This window comes from Homo sapiens, chromosome 13 (assembly GCF_000001405.40).
Source record: "Homo sapiens chromosome 13, GRCh38.p14 Primary Assembly".
In the NCBI taxonomy this organism is placed as follows: Eukaryota; Metazoa; Chordata; class Mammalia; order Primates; family Hominidae; genus Homo; species Homo sapiens.
This window is the reverse complement of record NC_000013.11, coordinates 34,093,307-34,117,643: the sequence shown is the minus strand read 5'-3', so window position 1 is coordinate 34,117,643 and position 24,337 is coordinate 34,093,307. Positions and strand designations below refer to the sequence as shown.

At 38.0% G+C, this 24,337-nt stretch overlaps 1 non-coding gene across 1 annotated transcript, besides 1 other annotated feature; it reads left to right on the top strand.

The window, feature by feature from the left end:
• Positions 282 to 1,064: an enhancer, noted in NCBI's record as "NANOG hESC enhancer chr13:34690717-34691499 (GRCh37/hg19 assembly coordinates)". NCBI's record gives its function as "activates a minimal SCP1, AML or CMV promoter by ChIP-STARR-seq in naive H9 embryonic stem cells {active_cell/tissue: H9 hESC(naive)}" and the evidence as "EXISTENCE:reporter gene assay evidence [ECO:0000049][PMID:30033119]".
• On the top strand, positions 16,806 to 16,933 carry LOC124900343 (small nucleolar RNA SNORA25). Its single transcript, XR_007063954.1, has one exon. It is a non-coding gene; the product is annotated as a small nucleolar RNA SNORA25 (small nucleolar RNA).
• Positions 16,934 to 24,337: the final 7,404 nt, after the last annotated feature.

Below are 24,337 nucleotides of genomic sequence, written 5' to 3'. Positions count from 1 at the left end.
TAAGCCATGGCATTTGGAATTTTCTTTTTGACAGCAATCTAAACTCTACCCTGCCTAATGCAGCAAGTGATGCTGTGGAAACCGTGAGAGGTAAGGTCCTCAAAATACATAAAAGGGAGATGAAAAACATGACTGAGAAGGAGGGAGAGAAAAAAGGAGAAGGCTATACATAGCTGCTATTCTCCTCAAAAATAAAGAAAGAAGAGATTTTGGAAAAGAGTGCAGGTCTGATAATAGGAATGAGAGAGAATGCTGAGCCCCCTCCTGCTGGCTTAGCTCCTATGTGAGCTGTGGACCTCAAGGGTAAGAGAGAGGGAGCAGCCCCTTCTCAAGGGGATTGCAAGAAAGACGAGGCTTCAGAGAAAGTGGTACATTTCACTTAAGCAGAATAGTCGAAGGGAGAATTACGTGAAGATGTGTGAGTTGAAATGGTGGGTTTACAACAGAATAGAAAGACTTGTTATAAAAGGCTGAACCAGGGAGGAAGCATCAAGTTGGAAAACGAGATTACTAGAGTGGGTAAACAATTGAAGGTGGTGCATTTTATGCACTGGATGAGAATAATAGCAGTGGAGTGAAGGGAGGCAGTGGGCTCCGGACTAGATATGAATCACTGATGTAAACGGTGGTGTTAAATAACAATGGAGATTAATCTGTATGTGATGGGAAAGTTGTGGGCTACCTTTGAGGAGAGGTCTGATCAAAATTGCCTTTTAGAAAATCCATTGTAAGAGCAGAGGTGGGTAGAGGAGTCAGGAGGCAGGACGATAGAATTTTCCTTGCCTGAGGTGTTACATTTGCATAAAACCTATAAATTCAATGGTAGGAAATGAATCCTTTCTTCCTCTGGGTTGCCAAAGCACTTGTTTCTACACTTAACCAAATTTTCTTAACACTTTTTCTGTTTTCTTGTTTGCCTTCCCCTACACTGAGAGCTCTTTCTGAGCATGTGTTATCTTTCCATTCTTGTATCCCTAGGGCACAGTCTGGGGATTTGAAGGCATTCAGCAAATGCTGTTCAACGAAGAAATGAATAAGAAGCTGTCAGAATATTTAAGACATATGGTGCATAGGCCTCCCACCAAAGAAGTGACAGCAGGAATGGAGAGAAAGAAGGACATCAGAGGTATTTAAAAGAAACAATCGTCAGGACATGGTGACTGGATGAAGAAATGACAAGACCCAGAAACAATTACAATGTCCAGCCAGAAAGGTCCGGTGGCACTTTGGTACAATTGAAGACACTAGGAAATGTAGATGCGTAGGTAGATTCCCCACGCCCTCTTTTTTTTTTTTTTTTTTTTTTTTTTTTTGGGATGGAGTTTTGCTGTGTCACCCAGGCTGGAGTGCAGTGGCACAATCTCGGCTCATTGCAACCTCTGCCTCCTGGGTTCAGGCGATTCTCCTGCCTCAGCCTCCTGAGTAGCTGGGATTACAGGTGCGTGCCACCACGCCTAGCTAATTTTTTATTCTAGTAGAGACAGGATTTCACTATGTTAGCCAGGCTGGTCTTGAACTCCTGACCTTAAGTGATCCACCTACCCGGCCTCCCAAAGTGCTGGGATTATAGGCAGAGCCACCACATCTGGCTTTTCCCACCCCCTCTTATTTCACCAGTTGATAGTTCTTGGGGCCTGGGAGTGGAGTGGAAGAAAGTGAGGTGGATGGGACAGTGAGAGCAATGTATGATGTCCTATTCTAAAATATAAAATAATAATAATGCAAATAATAATGTAAATAAGTCAACCACATGCTCAAGAATTAAAGATAAGGCTTAAGATACAGATACATAATTAAAACTACACTAAGCTATTGATTCTCTGGCAATACTTTTAAGGATACCTCTAATTCCAAAGGCCTATTATATTTGACAAAAAGCCTATACGATATGCAAGAATTGTATTTTCTCAATATCAACCATCACATTTAGAAAACCTTCAGAAAGCATATGTACATAGTATCTTATGTGTAAGTGAATGAGAATTTTATGAATAAACTTTTTAAGGGAATTAAGACAATACAATCGTCTGTATCTGAAATAAAGCAGAGACAAAGGCAAAGATTATAGCTATGGATGAGGTGAACTGAGTATCAATACATTCTAAGATAACATAGAGTTAATGAAATTTATTAAATGATCAATACCAGTATAATAAATATCCTGGCAATAGTAAAACTGATAGCCCATAATAAAGAGGAAAATATATTCGAATAGTCTTCCAAGAAGACAAAAATATAAATACATGGAGTTGTTTTTTTTTTTTTGAGAGATGGAGTCTTGCTCTGACACCCCAGCTGGAGTGCAGTGGTGTGATCTTGGCTCTCTGCAAGCTCTGGCTCCTGGGTTCACGCTATTCTCCTGCCTCAGCCTCCAGAGTACCTGGGACTACAGGTGCCCACCACCACGCCCGGCTAATTTTTTTGTATTTTTAGTAGAGACGGGGTTTCACCATGTTAGCCAAGATGGTCTCGGTCTCTTGACCTCGTGATCCACCCGCCTCGGCCTCCCAAAGTGCTGGGATTATAGGCATGAGACACCATGCTCGGCTGGAGACATTTTTTACCAGAAATTATTTTGTTCTATCAATTACTTTGAAGATACACTAAGCAGTTATGAATTAGATGAAATTAGCAAAGGTTGCAACAATGTTAGGCATGAACTGGTGATAATGCTGAGCCCATTTCAACCAGAAATAGATGAATTTAGTTTTGCTTAAAGGAAAGATGATCAGCCCAGCCAGGCACTGACCTCAGTAAACCATTTCTAAACAGAGGAAGCTCTAACTTCCTCATTTTGCCCAAAAATGCTGCATTATGGGAAGTCAAGCCTAGGTATTTCCAGGGTTCTCACTCCAGCTGTCCATTCAGCTGCAGCCTGAGCCACCTGTTGCTACCCACAAACCTCCTCAACCAAGGACAGTGGGGATCTAGGACCGTGTCTTTTGCATTGCTTCGTGTCTAAGGAAGGTTGAGACTGCTTAAGAATAGGAATTTCACTCTTGCAATGTAGCTAAGTGTCAAGGTCTGGGAAAGAATGCTGCTACCAAGGGTGGCTCCGCAGGCTTTTATTTTGTCCCACAGCTTGGTTCCAGACACCAACTCTTTATCCTTCAGTCACCCTAGGGTGACTAATGTCTATCAGATGCCTCAATGTATCTTTATATTGAACCTAAATCTTCTTGGGTTAACTTATGGAGAATGGACAGAAATGACTTGGGGAAGAATGAGTATAACAAGTGAGCATGTATAGAACCCAAAAGATCTGAATATGAAGGACTTTTGGGAAATAAATCACTCTTTTTCAGTTTATTGCTGTAAACAGTGTCAAGCTTGCTTTCCAACTACTGCGTCACATAAATGCCAACTCATTTTCATGTACTTTCTGAAAGAGATAACAGAAACAGCAAAACAACAAATATGATTATAAAAATGGCTTTGAAGTAATTAAATGTGTGTCAATTTATTTTCCCTGTACCAATTAATGTAAATGTGTAGAAAGAAAATTGTATCATATTTATACATCACTTCTGGTAAGACTATTGGGTCAAAAGTAATTGAGTCTTATTTCAATCATGTACTAGAACACACAAGGCGTCCATGGGCTTCACCAGCTGCAGTTTGTCTATTCTAGTCAGGTTTGCTTCTGAAACTCTGGTTCCCTAAGGAGAGAAGGCTTGCCTAAGGCTGATCTAGTTCTCCCAGAGGGAGCAGCCAAAATGGAAAACTTCACATCAGCAGTCCAAACAGCAATTCAACCTCCCATGAAGAATAATATTTTTATTTAGCAGATTCAATCAAAGCAGTAATCCCAAAATTCTTCATGCATTTCTTGGGCTTTTCAATAAAAGAGAGGTTATAGTTAGGACATGGATTTAACTATGGAGGAAGAGAAGCTACTATTAATTTTGCCTGCCAAAAAATCAATAACTAATATTTTAACCTTTCTATCTCTTTCTTTCTCACTCACTCTTTGGCTTAAGAAATAAAGCCTGTGTATATTCTTTGCTATGATTTATGGGCTGGTTTGAGACATTAGGAAAGTAAGTCAATAGCCCCTTTAGAAAATCCTGGTGGGAAAATTTTCTGATCCAGGAGTCAATCAGAACTCACACTTCCAGCAAGGACTTCTCTTTGTTATCTTCAAATCCGATTTTTTGGTGACTATTACCTACAATTACCAGGTAACTCATTGCAATTGGAAAGTAAGTTCTCAGATTTCAAGACATTTACAGTATTCTTTTGGGACATCAGCTTCTCCAACAGAATGCATTTGCTGATGTATATAAATAAGACCTCAAAGCTCTATTGAAATGGAAGAGTTCCGTGACCCCCCTTTCAGGATGTGCAACAGGGGTGTGGCTTGTCTGTTTGGCTGCCACTGCTGCTCAGACCCCTAAGGGGAAGAGGAGCACACAGATGGGCAAGTGCAGGAGCCAGGGTGAGCAGTTTTGGGCTCCAGCCCCAAAGTAGCATCTAGGGGTGGGTGCCTGCAACTCCCAAAGCCCCAGTGGGCATGCTACAGAGCTCTTTTAGCTCTGCCATCTATAGATGATCTAAGTGTTAATCAGCTCAGTGCCCTCTTAGTACCGAGTTCTTGTCTGGTGTCTGGCAACCAGGAAGAATCAGGTCACACACAGACTTGAAGGATAGTGAATGCAGAGGTTTAACTGAGTGACGGAGGTGGCTCTCAGTGGGATGGGTAGGAAGCTGGAAAGGAAATGGGGTGGGAAGATGATCTTTTCCTGGAATTTGGCCATCCAGCGGCCGGTATCCTCTCCAACCATCCCCAGATGAACTCCTCTTGATGTCAGACTCTCCTCTCCGTCTGTGCCATGCCGTTCTGCTGCTCTTTTGCCCTTCTGTTCATCTGCTCATGGAGACTGGGGTTTGAGGTTCATATGGGTACAGGATAGAGGGTGTGGTGGGCCAAAAGGCAACTTTTGGGTGCGAAAACAGGAACACTTGTTCCCATTTAGGGTTGCAGGTTTCCAAGCTTGAGGGTGGGGCTTTTGCCAGGGAACCGCCCGCTTCTACCCAGTATTTCCGTCTCAAGTTTGTATCACTATATTTGTCGTTTCTGATGACAGACAATAGGAAAGAACAATAGGAAAAGGGATGGATGGATCCAAGGAATATTCCCACTGAGACTAGCAATCTCAGAATTTGGGCTTAGAGAGTAGCAGCATCACACCCCTTTTGCCTTCACTTTGACCATCTAAGGTTTTAAAGGCTATTTCTTGAAGCAATGTCAACATTAAGAACCTCCATTTGCTTCTTTTCACTAAGAATCTTACAAGTGGTAATAAAATTGTCTTTATTTCATTTAAGATCAGTCAAGTTTTTATTATATTTAGAAAAATTGCCATCCAGCTGTTTGGAGACCAAACACATATCAATGGTAATGACAGGCAAAGTCAGATGGAGCCAGCTTAGGAGACCAGACCTTCATATCCAGTTACTGGATGCCAGTCTATTTTTGCTGTAGAATCTCAATGTTAGAATGTTTTCTGCATCTTAATCTGTTTATGGCCCAGGCTAAGGTCATAGAGAGCTCCCTTCATTTCTATTTCTTCAAGCCAAGCTCCTTCTAAATGAAAAACTTTCCTCCCATTCTTGCATATGTCTAGGGAGCTCATATGCTTGCGTTTTTGTTTGATCTTCAGTTTCCCTAAACCCACAGGCAGTATTTCTCCTTTAGGGTAGGCAGAGAGGTGCCTCATATTTGCTTATGAATAATTTGTCTCCTATCTAGATGCCCAGAAGTACTAAATGATTTTCACAGTATAGCATCACAAAGGATGACATAGATACATGCATCTCTATGCCTGTATATGCATAGGCCATCTCTAGAATGATACACAAGAAATGAATGAAAAGAGTTTTATCTGGGGAGAGTAACTGAGGGGATCAGGATAACTGGTTAGGAGGAAGACTTACTTTACACTGTCTTCTCTTTTGTGATGTTTGAATCTTTTTACAATGTATTGTATTACTCAAATAAAAAATGGATTTAATTGTTTAAAGAAAAAGCTAATATATAGAGAAAATGTATGGTATGGAACAGTACACTTAGTATGGTTTCATTTGGATAAACAAAAGGATCTGGGCATATACATGGAAAATTTCTAGAAGGATACAAAGAGTTAATATTGGTTAGCTCTAATGAAGGGGCATGGATTCTGGAATAGGTAAGAGACACTTCTTATCCATAATATTTTTAATTACAAAGGAAAATGTAAATATAACATATGGAAAGGGGGTGGACTAAGAAAAAGGGAGACATGATGTCTAATCTCACGATTTCTAAAGGATCATGTGTTCTTGAACTAAGTGAGATACTATCATTTCAATAACCAAGGCTGCCCCCAAACACGCATGCGTGCGCACACACACACACACACACACACAGCCATACACAAAGATCGCTGGCTTTACTGAACATGACTTTACATTTTATCAGTAAAAATGAGTTATGCAAGTAACATGCTTAGTTTTTCACAAAACTAAATCATTTTTCTAACTCTTGCATCATTAATGACATGTCAAACACAATCTGCTGCCATTGTCAAGATTGCATGAGAGAAACATAACTTTAGTTTCTAATACGTGTACTGATAATTTATGCAGCATCTTTCCTTTTAAGACACCCATGAAATTTGATTAAAACAGAGACACATCTATCTATAGGCCTGAATTTAGAGTTACCTAGAGAAATTAGGTTTGAAAAAAGGAAAAGAAAAAAAAAAAAGAAATATATCCCCACCACTCTGCTCTCTCCTCATGGGAACTTGAGTATAGGAATGACTGTTGGGAAAGTACTCCGCTCTATTGCCCTGTCCCTATATTCTTCACAGCAGAATCACCCTTGTTCCCAAGACCATGTCAGACTTCACTAAATAATGAATTCAGGAATTCCAATGTTTGTGTGAGTGTGTATGTGGCAGTTAGGGGGATTCTTCATATCACATTTACTTTGTGTTTTGTAAAAAATAATAAGAAAGGTAATGTTTCTTATCATATAGCCATGAATAACCCACAGCAGAATAATCAATTAAGTCTTTAAAATGCAGATTTATGTTATACCACCCTGCCCTCAAAACATACTAAGCCACTGCCCTGGAGGGAGAGCCTCATATCTATATTTAAAACAAATTACTCAGGCAATACTCACATGTATAATTATTTGAGATTCGTGGATCTAAGAAACAAAGGCAATAATAATATTATGACTGACATTGATTGAATGCTTTCTATTTTCCAGTGACTGTTACCACCATCCTGCAAACAACCCTCATCACTCACCAGGACCACTGCCTCAGGCTGTCACTGGGTGTCCCTTATTTTACTTTTATTTTCCCACCTCCATCCCCACAGCAGCCAGACCCTTTTCAGAGACAAATACTCTCTGTGACTCCACTCCTTCAGGTCTTCTAATGACTTCTAATCTCATTCAAAATAAATTAAGAATCTCATCCAAACATTTTCCCATGACTTTCAAGACCCTGCATGAATCAGCCTTTCTAACTTCTTGAACTTCTTTCACCCTTTGCTTCTCCCCTGCTTCTTCAGCAACTCTGGTTTTCATCCTGACCCTTGGACACATCAAGGACACTCTCACCTCCAATTCTTTGCACTTACTATTTCCTCTTCCACAGAAAACTCTTCCCTGAGCTATACATAAGCTTTACTCTTCCAATTAATTTGGTATTCATTTAAGAGAGATATAAATATTTTCTCTATAGGGAGGCCCTCTGTGGCAAGCAGCCTCTAGGATCATGTCTACAGAGTCCCACTTCTTGGTATTCATAATTTCCTCTCCTGGAATAATTTACTTTTAACCAATAGCAGCTAGCAACACTGGGGTGTTGCCACATAAATAATTTGGTTATAAAGATTGTTACTTCTGCCTTGTGTCAGGGTGTCTCTCTTGCAAGCTTTGATGAGATAAGCTGCCATGTTGGAGAGGCCCATGTGGCAAGAAGCAGAATGCAGCCTCCGGCCAACAGTCAGCACAGGCCTGAGGCCCTCAGTCTAACAGCTCTCAAGGCATCAAATCTAGTCAACCACCACATAAGAGAGCTTGTAAGTGGAGCTTTCCCCAGTCAGGCCTTCAGATAAGACCTCAGCCCTTGCCAACTCCTTGATTGCAACCTTATGAGACATCCTGAAGCTAATCATTGTCCAGATTCTTGATCCACAGGAACTGTGAGATAATTAATATGTATTTTTTAAGCTAATAATTTCTGGGGTAATTTTTTACTCAGCCATTGATAGCTGACACAGCCTCCTTACCTGCCATTTATAAAATACCACCTTGCCATCCATCCTGTCTCCTGGCCCTGCTTTTTTTCTTCCTAGTCCATATCACCACCTGACATTATGTATGTATATATGTACTTTGTCTGTCTTCACTTACTGGACTTTTACCCCCTTTTGTTCATTGGTATATGTCCATGGCCTAGAAGCAGTCTTGGCACATTGTAAATTCTCAATAAGTATTTACTGAATTAGTGAATTCGTCATTGAATTTTTCGAACCAATGAATTATATATGTGCATTACTATCTATTTTTTTATGAGGAAACAGAGACATAGAGATTTTAAGAACATGTCAGATCACAACTAATAAGGAGTTGAGACAGGATTTGAATCCAGTCTGTCTGACTCTTTTTCCATTTATAACAATGTTTCTTAACTGGGGGTTTCTTAAACTGGAGGTTCACAAGTCGCTAAGGATTTCAAGCTAACTCTTAGTAGTTTAAATTTGTTTAATTAAAAAAACTGTGTTGATAATCTGAAAATATAAATATATTCTGAGCCACATGGATGTCGATTATTTTACATAATGTTGCCACATTAGCACGGAAGCTTGTGTAAGTGATCAGGTGAGCTCTATTTTAGTTATAGTATCCTTCCTGATTCACAGCCTGTAGACTGTAAATTCCAGCAGCTGATGTGAGGGCAACAGTCTCACAGAGACAGTTTAACCAGCTGCAAAGTTGCAAAAGATCAGACCCCAGCAACAAAGCCCTTGATAAAGTGGTTCTTTTCTTCTGATTGAATGAACAATGAATGACACACTAGCTCAGTATGTATCAAAATAGGGTTGTAAAATGGACAAATACAACCAGTAAAACTTAGTGATGACTTGCCTAGAATTTCAAACAAATGATATCTTATCAAAACAGTTTGTTGCTAAGCGGTCATCAACATCTTCTCCAGATCTATCTCTTAGCCTTTACTCTTCCCAGCCCTTGACTCCCTTCCTCCTTTGCTCTCTATCCTGGTCCCTTCTATCTCAGGGGTCAGAGTGAGTCTGTTTGTGAACAGTGTCTTCCCTAAATAGGAAACATGAAGAACTGTAAAAGAAGTTAAACCAAGGAGTTTTAGCTAGGCACCCACTGTCTACAGCATGGAGGAAAACCACAAACCAGCCTTCCTATATGTTCTGACCCACCTGGAATGCAGGCCAGCACTGTGGGTCCTGGACTTACCACCTCTCCAAGTCTTACAAACCTGCCTGAGCACCAGTAAAGCAAAAGCAGTATTTACCGTGTGTGGAATCACTCTCCAGAAGCCTTGCACTGTCATTTCAGAGATGTATAGTCCCATAGGAAACATTTTGGCCTTAATATAAAAGAAAAGCCAAACCTATGAATCAGGGTGTTACATCAGGCATGCTCTGGACACTCCTTTAAATTTCTATCACACCACTTTGAGAAACAATGGACAGTAATGACCTTTTGAAGGAGCAAATTCACATTTTAAATGTCATCAAGACAGGATATTCCTTATTCCTTTAGCTTTTTAATCTACACCTAAGTAATATGGTATAGCTTTTAGGCCACTGGATCTCTGCCTCCCAGACAGGAGCAGATGGGAAACACACACATTCTATTATGCAGATAAGATGTCCTGAGTGAGAACAGTTCAATTAATATATTACATATTTGAAATTCAAAACTATTATTTGGATTATTTATTATCTATATTACTATTATCTATTAATATTTGATTTGTACTTTAAAAACATATTCTACAGATTCTTTGTATTTTAACATCATAACCTTGACCCTCCAAGGTCAGGCAAGCTCAACATTTTTCTCTAACCATTTTCTTTGTTTTTTTTATTTTTTATTTTTTACTTTTTATTTTTTACAGAGAAATAGCAGTGACTACCTATGGAATACCTACTAATGCCTCGCTCCACGCTAAGTGCTTAGCATGATATTCTGTTTGTCCTCATATCAGCCTGGTGAAGTAGGTATTACTATCTCTAACTAGCACAAGGTCACAGGAGTGGTAGAAGCTGTGTGAAGCAAGGCCTTAAACTCAAGTTATCTGTTTCCAAAGTCAATAATCTTGACCCCATTTTTTAATCTACTAACAGTAGTTATGTATTTTGCATTGCAGAACTCCAAGGCTTTCATTAGCATGTAAACAGAACTAAAATTATTTTACAATATTTGGGTTTGATTCTACCTCCAAATATCCTGTGATAGTATAACCAATTTGGTATGGTCTTCCATATGGGCAAAAATTTGATTTTGAAGATTTTTAAATTTTAAGATTTTTTAAAAGTACAAAAATGTCACCCTTTTTTTTTGTTGTTGTTGTTGTTTGTTTTGTTTTTTTTAGAGACAAAGTCTCACTCTGTTGCCCAAGCTGGGGTGCAGCGGTGTGATCTTGGCTCACTGCCACCTCTACTCCCAGGTTCAAGCAATTCTCATGCCTCAGATTCTCGATTATCTGGAGGTAAAGGCATGCACCACCATGCCCAGCTAATTTTTGTATTTTTAGTACAGACAGGGTCTCACCATTGAGGGGTGAAGTTGGCGGGACTTCCTGGGCCAGTTCAGGGACTTTGGCAAAAGACCCCTGTGACTCAGCGTTTTGAGTTCTTAACCAATTGAGTGAAGGATTCAAAAGTAACCACTCCAAGGGAGGACTGAAAAAAGAACCACTCTCAATGGACAAAAAAAAAAGAAAGGGGAGGGGATAGCACAGGGGTATAAGCCCTAGCCACCCGAGCCAGCAATGGCAGCTCTTCCAGGTCCCCTTCCACCACATGGACGTTTTCCTTTCACTTTGTTCAATAAACTGCGCTGCTGCTCACTCTCCTGGTCTGTGGACTCTTTCTGAGCTGTAACACTCACTGCGAAGGTCCTCAGCTTCACTCTTCGAAGTTACTGAAACCACAAACCCATCTGCAGGGAAATCTCCTGACTCACCATGTTGGCCAGGCTGGTCTCGAACTCCTGACCTCAAATGATCCACCCTCCTCGGCCTCCCAAAGTGCTGGGATTACAGTCAGCCTTGTTTTCTATGTGCTTAGAATCTAAGTTATTATGGATCGTTTTTCCGGTCAAAAACAGAGAAAAGCTGTCTCTACTTTAAGTACTCACTTATAATTTCCATCTTCAATTACTGACCATCCAAATCTTGACAAAAACCTCCTGAAGAAAATCAAGATTTCTGATGACTTTACTAATAATGATTTCCCCTATTTCTAAGCTCTGTCCAAAATTATAATTAGTCAGAGCATCTAAAAACTTTAGCCTGGATTATATTATTTTGTGCCTCACAGAAATACTTTCCCAGATGTACAATTGACTATTAAGTCTTTAAATATGTTAGAAAATATGTTATTTATGCCTGATCATTATTATATTATTTATTCATTCACTTATTAATCAATATCTCTTCTGGACACTATGTTTATTACTAAAGATATGAAGACAAAAAGAAAGTACACATAATCCTTGATCTCCATGATTTAATAAAGCAACTGGGAATAAAAAGGAATAAAGTAAAATAATTGTAACAAGAAATTGTGAACTTAAAATTATGTCACAAGAAACAGGTGATCTTTCCTGATAAATTGATACTCTTTCTTCTATTAAATAATAAAAGCTGTTAAAGTCATCATGAACTCTTTTTGTCCTACCTCTTTATCTGACAACCACATTTTGTGCTCAGGTGCATCAATTTCTCTTTACTTGGATATTCTTATACAAATATTTATCATTTTAACACATCTTTCTCTTTATTTTTATTTTTTTCTTGAGACGAAGTCTTGCTCTGTCACCCAAGCTGGAGTACCATGGCGCAATCTCGGCTCACTGCAACCTGCGGCTGATTCTCCTGCCTCAGGCTTCCGAGTAGCTGGGATTACAGGTGCCTGCCACCACACCCAGCTAATTTTTGTATTTTTAGTAGAGACGGGGTTTCACCATGTTGGCCAGGCTGGTCTCGAACTCTTGGCCTCAGGTGATCCACCCGCCTCGGCCTCCCAAAGTGCTGAGATTACAGGCGTGAGCTTCCCAAAGTGCTGAGATCACAGGTATGAGCCACCACACCCGGCCACATCCTTCTCTTCAATATCTTGACTCTTGTTCTTTTACCCTTATTTCAATTGTTTTACAGGTTTTGGTGGCTACTTTTTAAACAATTCTTCTCCCTGCCAGTCCCCCAACACTCACAGACTTGGCTGAAGCCCCTATGTGTTCAGCCAAAGCTACAAAATGATTTTAGAACCAAAGTGGCCCCAGGACAGGAGCAGATAGAGCAGATCTCAGCCTGTCCTTGGCAACCAGTCTCTGCTGTGGGAACAGAGTGGCCATGACCCTGTTCATGTACGACGGGGTCTCACTGGAGCTGAGGGGCCAAGTTCTTGCCGCATCACTGTTTGTTTTTTTTTTTTTAATTGGGCCTTTCATCACCATTCTAAAAAGACTTACTCTAGAAATACCTGAAAAAGATATAATTACGAGAATAAAATGTTTCCTTGTAGAAATTTTCTGCCTTTTCAAATGTGCAACACATTTCTACCCAGCTCCTCCATAAAACTGCTGCAAAATTGACCCAATACCCATCAAAAATCCATCTAAAAAGTACTTACATTTAGTTTCTTGGAGTTCATTCCCCTTCTCCTGGTGGTTTTACTTGTCCCATGGGATCTAAATGTTCAGGTTGTTGCCCTGGGTTTGCCATTACTTCGCTGTGTGGAAGACACACGTGGAGAGAGTTTCACTTGTAAGAGAAAAACGCCCCAGCTGGGTCCGAAATGGAATTTCAGGGTCTTGCTGTTTTCTGATCTTATGAGCTAGATGTCTATTTTCACTACAGAATTAATTTTAGACTGAGGCAGCAAAGGGAAAGCTTTTTTTTTTTGCCAGGTTGTTTGTTTCTTTTTAAGTCCTGGGGCTTATAGGAAGGAGACAGGAAAGAATTAGAGGAAGACTAAGAGCTGCTTTTATGAAAGACTTTGGAGCCTGATGTCTGAGGGTACAGGAATAGTTGCCTCAGAGGTCCTGCCATCTAACTATAGGTCAGGCCAGTCTGAGGACTCTCAGGAGTAGAAAAAGCTATGCTTGGACAAGGATGGGAGGGAACAGCCCCAAGACCATCCCTTCCTGTAGCAATGACCATGAGGAGAGGCCTTCATCAACAGGCCTCTGTATCGTAGTCACAGAAAGCACAGGCTTTGCCATTAGAAAAACTCTACTGGTGAGTTCAGGCTCCACTCCAGTCTACTTTAGTGGAGTGGCCAATTGCTTAACAACTCCAGACTTTCTGTTCTCTCACGTATACACCAAGGAGAATAATGAATGGCTCCTGTGTCATAAGCTCAGTATGAAGATTAACTGAGATAGTGCTTGCCAAGCTTTGATCACAATATCTGACGCAAAGCAAGTACTTAATAATTATTAACTACGAGAAACAGAAATGCAAAAAAGAAAAAGAAGCAGAGCAGGAGATCCAGGAAGACTAGACCCTGCTATGAGCAGCTTTTAGAGAAAAGGAAATTTCCAGGTGATAGAAAGTGCTAAAGTCCCCTTTCAGGGGTTTAACAGAAGCCATACTTATTAATACTAATATGAATACTACTATTACTTCATGTGTACACTCATGGAACTTGTGGATATTTGGGTTGCTTAAGATCAGTATGAAAAGTTACTTTTCTATGTTTAAAAGAATTTAATACGGCTGATTTTAATTGGATCAAATAATTGGTTGAATCCATTTATATATCCTCTAATTAGTATGAACTTTTATGCCTCATCTTGACCATTGAGAGTCTCCTTAGACGTGTTGGTCCCTTAAGTGACCCTTTTCTTGTAGTTGCAAATTCCAGGACCCTCTGTACAACTGTCCTGATGCACTCTTTTAGGGAATATGTATCTAGCAGCCTGGCTTTGAACTGTGACTCAGAAGGTTCCCACCTTTCAACTCTCCCTGAAGGTTTCATGATAGCCTTTTTTTACTTTCAGTATCCTACTGGCTATATCTTTGGGAAACTAAAATAAAATCTAAGAAAACTTTAAACTTTCTTATAGCAACAAGCTTTAGTCTACAGCGCCCAATTTTCTAAAATCTTTAGAGCTTCGTATTGTCTTTATTTCTGAGGATAATTTTTTTAAAAAAACTTTGTACCATCTTCAGGTTTCCACCTTCCTCCAGGTAAAGAATGGCAAATAGGGATCAGCTTACAAGTCAACCCCAATACATTGTTAATAGGTGCCAACCAAAAGAAAGATTCTGAGGTTTTGATCTGAGTTCAGAGGGAATAGAGTGTGGAGGAACTAAACTGGGAACACAGGAGTCCAGGATGATGGCCCAGAAGCCACAAATCTACTGGGTGCTGCGGTGTGCTACGCTGACCTACCTCCGGAAAAGCCCTTACCTCAAGCCATGCCCAATAATGTAGTCAGAGCACAGGAAGAACATCAACAAGCATCAACACAGCTGACTAGTTTGTTGTCGTTGCTTATAAGAGAATTTCAGTAGAAAGACTTCCAACTCATTAGCTTTTAGACTCCTCCAAGAAAGGTATTTTGGGGGCATTTTCTATAATATAGCAACATTTGAGTCTTTTTTAGACCTTCTGAGGTTAACCCACAGTGGTAGCATAATGACTAACTGCATAATATACCAGCCATGCCCATGATACTTTATATCAAACATGATGGAAATTTTATTAAACTCATAACAACTGCACAATAAGAGGTTGTCATGATATATGAATATTGAGACAAATAGTGTGAAACAAAAAAAAAACACCTCTTCTTCTCTATCCTTGAAATTTTCCACACCTTGACCATAGTTTCAAGGTCTTTATGATTCTTCATGGCTGTCATTTGATATGAAAATTACCTTTTCAAAAATAAATCTTGTCCATGATATTGCTTTAATCTCTAACTTAATGCAAAATTATGCTACTTGGTGCATGAGACTCTCTTCACATTTTCAATGAAGAGAATTCCCCAATACTTAGGTTTTTCAAGAGGTACACTACTATTTCCACATGTCAGGACTTCTAGTTAACAAGACGATTGAACACGCAGTCTGTCTCCACTGCCTTTTAAATTACATTTAAAATAAAAGACATAAGAAAGAAAACCCAGGAAGACAAGGAGAATAGGAACAGAGACAGAATATAAAAGAGATAAAAACAAGATCTAAACACTGGAAGATAGATTATGAGCAATAACTGACTTCCAATCTTAGAGAAAACTACAATCTAATTATAAAGTGGAGGAGGCTAACGAGAAGCAAATTGATGTTCACCTGAAAGACCTCCAAAATGCTCTGGAAATGGCAGAAATAAGTTATTCTAAAAGGGGAGGGACAGTGTCTGAAAACAGAAGGATAAGTTGAAGGACTGGTTAAATTTTTCAAGGGAGAATTGAGCTTCACTCTTGCAATCATCCTTTCCCAATACAGCTAAAGCCTGGAAGTTCACCCTGGAGAATTCAACCTGAAAGGATGTTAGGTTGCTCACAAGACATATAGCTGAGGGCGAATATGAGGGGCTGTATTAAAAACAGGGAAGTTATGTGAACTTTGACATACGGAACCTTGAGACATTCAGCAACCTTCATCACTCAGCTTCCAGGAAAGGAGCAGGTGGATTTTATGTCTCTAAAGCAACAAACTAAGAAAACTGATCTGCCCATGGGAAAAGACCTACAAAAATACACAAATGAAGGCCTGAAACAAAGTAGCTGGGCCACCACCAGTCACCCTATATTGAAGCTCAGCAGTTAACAAGGCATACTCATAAACATGTTTTTATGTCTGTTTTAAATGTGATCACTAGAAAAGTCTAACGTAAAAGAACAAACTGATTTGAAACAAAGAAAAAAGGAGAACTCCAAGACAGCAAATAGAGCAGAAAAAAAACTTTTTAGAACTTCAATATTCTCAGAGATGTAAGAGAAGAAATGGCATGCAGGAAGGGATGCTATTTAAAAAGGATTATTCAGACAATACAGAATTCTTAGAAGATAAAAACAGAATGAAAAAATTTAAACAACAAAACTCAACAGAAGAGTTGAAAGCCACGATTTAATAAATATTTCAGAGAGAAGAAAAACTCACAAAGAGATACAAAATACAAAGAAAAAAGGAATGCAAAATACAAGGAAAAAAGGATCAGGACTTCCAATAGTATACTAATTAAAAACACCAGAAAGAGAGAAGAGTGAAAACAGAAAGGAGGGAATGATTACATAAAAATCTCAAGAAGATCCCTCAGAGTGGAATAACACAAATTTCCAAACTGAGTGCTCAGAATAACAAAATAAAAGTTCTTATCTTCCTAAAAGAGCATGTCTTTATGAAATTTCACAACACTAAGGCAAAAGAAAAAGCAAAAAGCTCCCAGAAAGAAAAATTATGGGTAACATATAAAGAGTCATGAATAAAAACAACATTAGGAAGTATCCCAAAAACAACAGTAGAAATTAGAAAATAGTGGTGGGAGACCTTCAAAATTATGAGAAAAAATTATTTCTAACATGTAGATAACTTCAAAGAGGGCTTGCGGAGCTGCAAAACCAAGAGCTTTTAATGTATTACTGAATATTGAAGTTCTCCGTAGGATGCCATAGTCACTCAGTAGTGCTATATCTTCCTAAGCAGATATAAGACTTAGCTTCTGATAATCATGACCTAATAACCCATGATTGGTAATGTAGGAAGTAAATGTCTCAAAGTTAAAAAAATATTATTTATAACATGGAATGTTATATCTGGGAAAACTATCAATCAAACAATATTCCAAAAAGTTTATCTTTTAGGCACCTTACCTTATGGAGTTACTGGAGGATGCACTTAATGAAAATAAGGGAGGAAACCAAGAAAGCAAAAAACTGGGTTTCAGAACACAAGAAGTCTAACACAGCAGAAAGAAGGGTATTCTAGTGATGACAGCTTGTAGTAAGCCAAAGGAACAGCCACTATCAATTGGTGCAAATGGACAGAAGGCTCCAGGAGTTATATCTCTAAGAAAAAATAATAACACACACACACACACACACACACACACACACACACCACAAGTGAAGGCTGTATTACCTGTAACATTGAATCTACTGAGGGGAGAGTTACATTTCTGGCAATGACAAACTACCCCTAGGGCATTAAGAACCAAAGCAAAAATTAAACGGAGGCAATTATCAACTGAAGACAATTCAAGAAGCTTTACCTAAAAAAGGAAATATAATCATGGACGTCATGTGGTTGAGGAGTGAATAATAATTTTGTAGAATTTTTGACATAGCTGTATCGGGGAGATAAGAGAATGCAATTACCTGGGGGAGGGGAAGAGAGTATATTTTTAAAAGCTAAATCCTTTCTAACCAGATACAAGACTGGGGTACTGGTATTTCTTTATATTACATTCTATAGTGCATTTGTCTTTAAAATCATGTACATGTATTCATTGAACAGAAATAAAACATAACTTTCAAATTGCTGTATAAGCTATCACCCAAATAATTATCTTTTACAATAACTAACCCTAGTAGTGAGCATTTTTACATTTCTAGTTAAATTTTTCTTCCAGTTTTATTTAAAATTTCTTCATGAGACCAAGTGCTCATTGTTGAAATTAATTTGAAAACTGAGATAATTAACAAAGGGAAAAGGCTGCTTTTTTTTTCCCTGAAGGATAATTAAGTGCTCTGATTCTTTTATACACTTTGCCTTTGTAAAATTCATCATAGAAAAAGTAACACCATAATATGGAAGAATAACTTCTCTTGGGAAATCTTGACTATCACAGAGTTGAGTTTCAAATTCTCAGGATAGTTGCCTGAGTATTCCTCCCTAAGAGAAAGATCTGTCCCTTGACAAGGAACTTGGCACTTGAATGATAAATAAAAGCCTTCTCTTCATTAAATCCACTCTTATTTAGTAACTGAGAAGGTCAAGTAAACAAGACAGCAAGGAAAATAGGACAGACTCCTCTAAAATCATCGGGCAAGGTGGATCTTTTTAAGGACTTGTCCTCTAACTGATTCAATCATTCTTGGATAAGTGCTTGCCTCAAAAAAGAAGCCAGCTACTAAGTGGGAAAGGAAGGCTGAAAAGTGATTGCAGAATTATTTTTGTATAGGACTTTATAACCTACACAGATAACCCATCTTATTCTTTCCATTGACCTTGACTTTTTGGTTAGCTCAAGTAATTTTTCAATAAAAGAGTTCATATAATGTAAATCTTTGTAGAAATGAAAACAAAAAAATGTTTGAACTTAATTTGAATGTAAATGTGTTTTACTCTGTTTACAAAATGCTAACCTGAGTCTGAAAACTGTATTATTTCTTTCTGGTCTATAATGGTCAAATAATTGTTTTTGTCATTTTTAGAGCAATTTTCAAAGAGGTCTCATTTCAAAGAGAAGTGTCCAATATCTCGATTTGTTTTTTCATTAGACAATCTCTCTAGTTACAAAAGAGTATTTAATACAAATTTCTGGTGGAGAGATGTTATGTTGGTCCTCTCCCAAATTCTCTTAATATTTTTATTTTTTCATACATCTGAACAACTCATTAATGTAACACCCTATGGGCAATATTGAAGGCATCAAAATAATGCTTAAAGAGTCTCAGAATTTACTGTTGTCTGTTAGTTAAGAGGCAATACTAGCGATGTGTGCATGCACAATTTAAAAGACCAGTACAAAGGGTTTATCCCCACACTTTGTCCACATAAAACCAGAACTTTGATTTATAGCTGCAAACACTGTTTTCCAAACCCACAGGTGTCTGAGAGTTGGCCACTTAGACTCAACTCAGCCTGAAGCCTTTGTTCAAAGGGAGCTCCTTCATCTTCACAGATGCCTAATCTGTTTGCTGCTGCTGTTTCTCAGCAGTTCATAACTGTGCCACATGGTTTAAAATTGAGCCTCAGAGCTACCTTAAACTCTTTATTCTCTCCTGATTGAGGTAGCCCCATTTGCGCACACTATCTAGAAGCTGGTGAGGTGTTCTGCTGTCACCCATCCTGTATCACCTCCAGAGGTGCCCAGTCAGGGCAACTGACCATATGCTACAACTGGGGCTTTCATTCCTAATGATTTTCTGAAGCTGCATTGGTGAAATTACACAAGAGACCAGGTCAGCAGGCTGCTTCCAATCTTTCAAGGAGCTGTTTGTATCACTCTCTTCACCCTCAGCCAATTCTGGAGTTCAGTACCATATTGGCACCTCATTGTCATTCTTGGTATGGGGTTTAGGCTTTGTTTTTCTCAAGGGAGTGTTGGGTTTTGTGCGTCAAGAGCAGACTACTTTCAGGTTTAGGTTGCCTTTAAACATCCTTACATTGTGGGTCTTATGTGACCAACATTGATACGTAATATTGGTCTTTTAAGGTTTATTGTAGATCCATTTGTAACTTAAGACATGAAATAGTCCATGATCACGCCATAGGTGTGTCAGACTTATAGGAATCACTCAGGATGGCAGGAAACTCTCATTTGTTCATGTTCATGGGTACTCACATGAAACTTGTGAGCTGTTCTCCTCCAGAATCTCTTTCTCGCCCATGTGTGGTTTCTCCGTTCTAGATCTTTTCCATTGAACAATCCCATCTAACATATGTGTGTGTGTGTATGTGTTCCCATGTAACAATTTTTCCTGAAAATAAGCAATTTCTAAGGTACAAATTTTTACCTTAATTATGTAAGAGTCTAAATATTTGAGTACCAGTGATAATAAGACACTTTATCACAACTTAAAAATGAGTGCATTCAACTAAAACTCTCATCCACCATAACCTAAAAATTGCAAACCTTTTTATACATCCATCTTTTGAAAAGATCTACATCATAATCAATGTCCAATAATTTAAAAAATATATGTAAGCATCTCAAAGCTATAGCATTTTTAAAATGCTATTGACCAAATGTGTACTTATATTGACTTATCTTGCCAGGAAGTATTATAAATCAAAATAAGACAAATAAAATTATTTTTATAACAGCTTGATTGAGATAGATACTCATTTAGGATACATTTTATGGTATCTAAACTATATATTTATGGTATTTAGATACCATAAGATGTATCCTAAATGAGTCCATTTTATAGTATCTAAATTATCTCAATCAAGCTGTCATAAAAATGTACTCATTTAGAGGTCATTTGTAAAATTCATTACTTTTTGATATATTCACAGAACAACTGTACTGTGAATTTTATTGAATTTTACACATGTATTCTAAATCTACTCATGTACATGTGTTGAGTAAACTGTGCAGCCATCAACACAACCAATTTGAACATTTTCATCACCACCACCCCCACCAAAAAAATCATGTCCCGCGAATTGCTCTCCAATACATCCATCTCTGCTCCCTCCCCTAGCATTAATCTACCACTACACAACCACTAATCTACTTTATGTCTCTATGGATTTGCCTTTTCTGAACATTACATATAAATGTAGTCATATAATATGTGGTCCTCTATACCTGGCTTCTTTCACTCAGCATGATGTTGTCAAGACTCAAACATGTTGTAGCATGTGACAAAGTCTCCTTTCTTTTAATGACTGAATAATATTCTATTCTATGCATATACCACATTTACATTTTGTTTATCTATTTGTCAGTTCATGAACATTTGAGTTGTTTCTACCTCTTGGCTATTATGAATGATGACGCTATGAGCACTCGTGTACAAGTGTTTGTGTGGATATATGTCTTTATTACTCTTAGGTATATAGCTAGGAATGGAATTGCTGGATCAAATTACAATTTTATGTTTAACTTTCTGAGGAAGTGCCAGAATGTTTTCCAAAATCACTGCATCATTTTTTTTAATCCCCACCAGTAGTTTATGAGGGTTCTGATTTCTCTATATCCTTGCCAATATTACTTATTACATCTCTTTTTGATTATAGCCATCCTAATGGGTATGAAGTGGTAACTCATTGTGGTTTTGATGTGTGTTTTCCTGATGACAAATGATGTTGAGCCTTTTTAATGGCCTCATTGGTCATTTCTATGTCTTTTGAGAAATCCCTATTTGAATCTCTTGCCTATTTTTAAATTTGGTGGTCTTTTTATGACTGAGTTGTAGAAGTCCTTATATATTCTAGACACAAGTTCCTTATTGGATATATAAATTTCAAATACTTTATCTCATTCTGTGGGTTGTCTTTTAACTTTCTTGATAGTGCCCTTTGAAGCAGAAACATTTTTAATTTTGATAAAGGCCAATTATGATGATTATTTTTATGTGTCAGCTTGAGTGGGTTAAGGGATGCCCAGATAACTGGCATTATTTCTGGGTGTGTCTCTGAGGATGTTTTCATAAAAGATTATCTTTTGAGTAAATAAGTTTGCCCTCACCAATGTAGGTGGGAATCATCCAATCTACTGAGGGCCAGAATAGAACAAGAAGACAAAGGAAAGGAAAATTTGCTCTCCTTGCTTCTCCTGCCCTTGAATATCAGTGCAGTTGGTTCTCAGGACTCTGGACTAGGACTGGGATTTACACTATTGACTTCCTGGTTCTCAGGTATTTGGACGTGTACTGGAACTGGACCACCAGCTTTCCCAGGCTTCCAGTTTATAGATGGCAGAGCATGGGACTTTTCAGCCTCCATAACCGCATGAGTTAGTCCTTCATAGTGGCTCTCTTTCTGCATATACTTCTATGTCTCCTATTTTTTCTTTTTCTCGAGAGAACCCTAATACACCAATTTATCTATGTTTTATTATTCATGCTTTTAGTGTCATATGGAAGAAACCATTGACAAATTTAAGGTCATAAAGATTTATCCCTAAGTTTTCTTTAAAGGTATTACCTTCTACATTTACGTCTCTGATCCTTTTTGAGTTAATTTTTGTATGTGGTGTGAGGTAAGGACCCAATATCATTCTTTTGCATGTGAATATCAATTTGTCATAGCATCCTTTGCTGAAATTAAATAACACTAAAAAAAGCATCTAATTTCCCCATATAAAAGATTAAAATCCTGATAAAGATATTGTATTCAAATTCACTGAGTCATCATCATAACACTGGTTTAATCACCAATTTCATATGTTATACAGACTGTTAGTATAATTAAGCACAGATGCTTCTTGACTTATGATGGGAATTGGTCCCAATAAGCCCATGAAAATACCATGTCAAAACTGCATTTAATACACCTAACCTACCAAACATCATAGTTTAACCTAGCCTACCTTAAACATGGCCCAAACACTTACATTAGCCTACATTTGGGAAAAATCGTCTGACACAAAGCCTGTTTTAGAATAAAGTATTGACTATCTTTTGTCATATATTGAATGCTGTACTAAATGTAGAAAACAGAATGGCCGTGTGGATACTCAAAGTACAGTTTCTATTGAATGTGTATCACTGTTGCACGATTGACAAATTGTAAGTTGAACCATCCTAAGTCGTGGATATCCATATTTTTTCAAGTAAACACTGGGCAACATAGTTACCAAGCTCAAATGTCATAAACTTATATTTAACAGATAGCAGTATCATAATGTATTATGTAAAATTTCTTACATCCTCTCTTTCTATTTACTGCAACAAATTGTTTAATTAAGAAAAGACTTTTGGTGTCCAAAGTGTCCAGAACACTTTGAGTGTTAATTGAGGATAAATTTAATAAAGGTCAATATTCAAAACTCTAAATACATCCTCACCAACACTTGGCTTTTTCACTTTCATCATTCTCCTGGATGCGCAGTGGAATCTCTTTCTGGTGCTCATTTGCATTTTTCTAATGACTAATGATGTTGGGCATCTTTTTATCTGCTTATCAATCATTTGCATATCTTGTGACATTTCTACTAACATCCGTTACCCATTTTTGTTGCGTTATTTTCTTCTTATGATTGAGTTATCAGAACTCTTTATGCATTTGGGATACCTGTCCTTTGTTACATGTGCATATTGTGAATATTTTCTTTCTGTTGGTGGCTTGCCTTTTCATTTTCTTAATGTTGTCTTTGCCATTCAAACAGCAGACATTTTTAGTAGTGATGAAATAAGATTGAATATATAGCAATAAAACAAAATTAGTTCCAGAAATAGACCCACATATTTATGATAACAGATTGTTTAAGTACATAGGTTGTGTTTTTGCCAACATTTTATAGTTTCAAACCTGAAAAATATTATTTCAAAATAAATGATACCACTGTAAAGCTGAATCAATTGGAAGCATTGGAAAATACTTGTGGTTCTAATAATGAGCACTGGAGCTTGCCCATGGTCAATAGATTTTTAACAATGATTTCAAGGTAACTCCATGGAGGAGGGAGGAATAGACTTCCAACACATGATAGTGGAACAAGTAAATATTCATTTGGGGGAAAATCATGTTTTAATTTTATACCATACATAAAACAGTTAATTAAGTACAGATTATAGGCCTCATCATAAAATCTAAAGCCATGAAATTCTACAAGTAAATAGGAGAAAATCTTCACCACTTTGGTAGGCTAAGATTTCTTAGACAGGAAACAAACAACATAAAGCAGTACATGTTTAAAACATTTCAATATTAGTCCAAAGTATGTCCATGAGGAGATGAGACTTATTTTTCATACCTATAACATGTTACATGTTCAAATGAACATTGCTTATAAGATTAGTCACCCCTTGCTGGTAGAGAAGTGGGGGGTCTACAGCACAAGGGTAAGGTACCCATATGCAGAGGGAAAGGAGATCTCGCCTCTGCCTGATACACAGAGGAGTGTTGGGCTCTGTTCGGTTTTAGTCTGTTTTTGTAACTATGCTTACTTTACCTCCTTCTTTCTCTAGGGTGATGGCTTTCTTAGAGTTGGCCCAATTTCCATTAGGTTTTAAAGAAATTCTAAGCACATTTCTCAGCTGTACTTACACTGAAATCATTTTCTAATGTGACTTCTAAGGAATGCTGTAGTTGTGAGAGGAGAGGATGTTCTTGCTAAGAGTGAAGCAGTGCAGTACCAGCAAAGAGGTGACTACTAAGAAGACACTGTATCCCACAACTGAAAGTTGCAGGGCAACAATGTCATCATCAACATTTTCTTT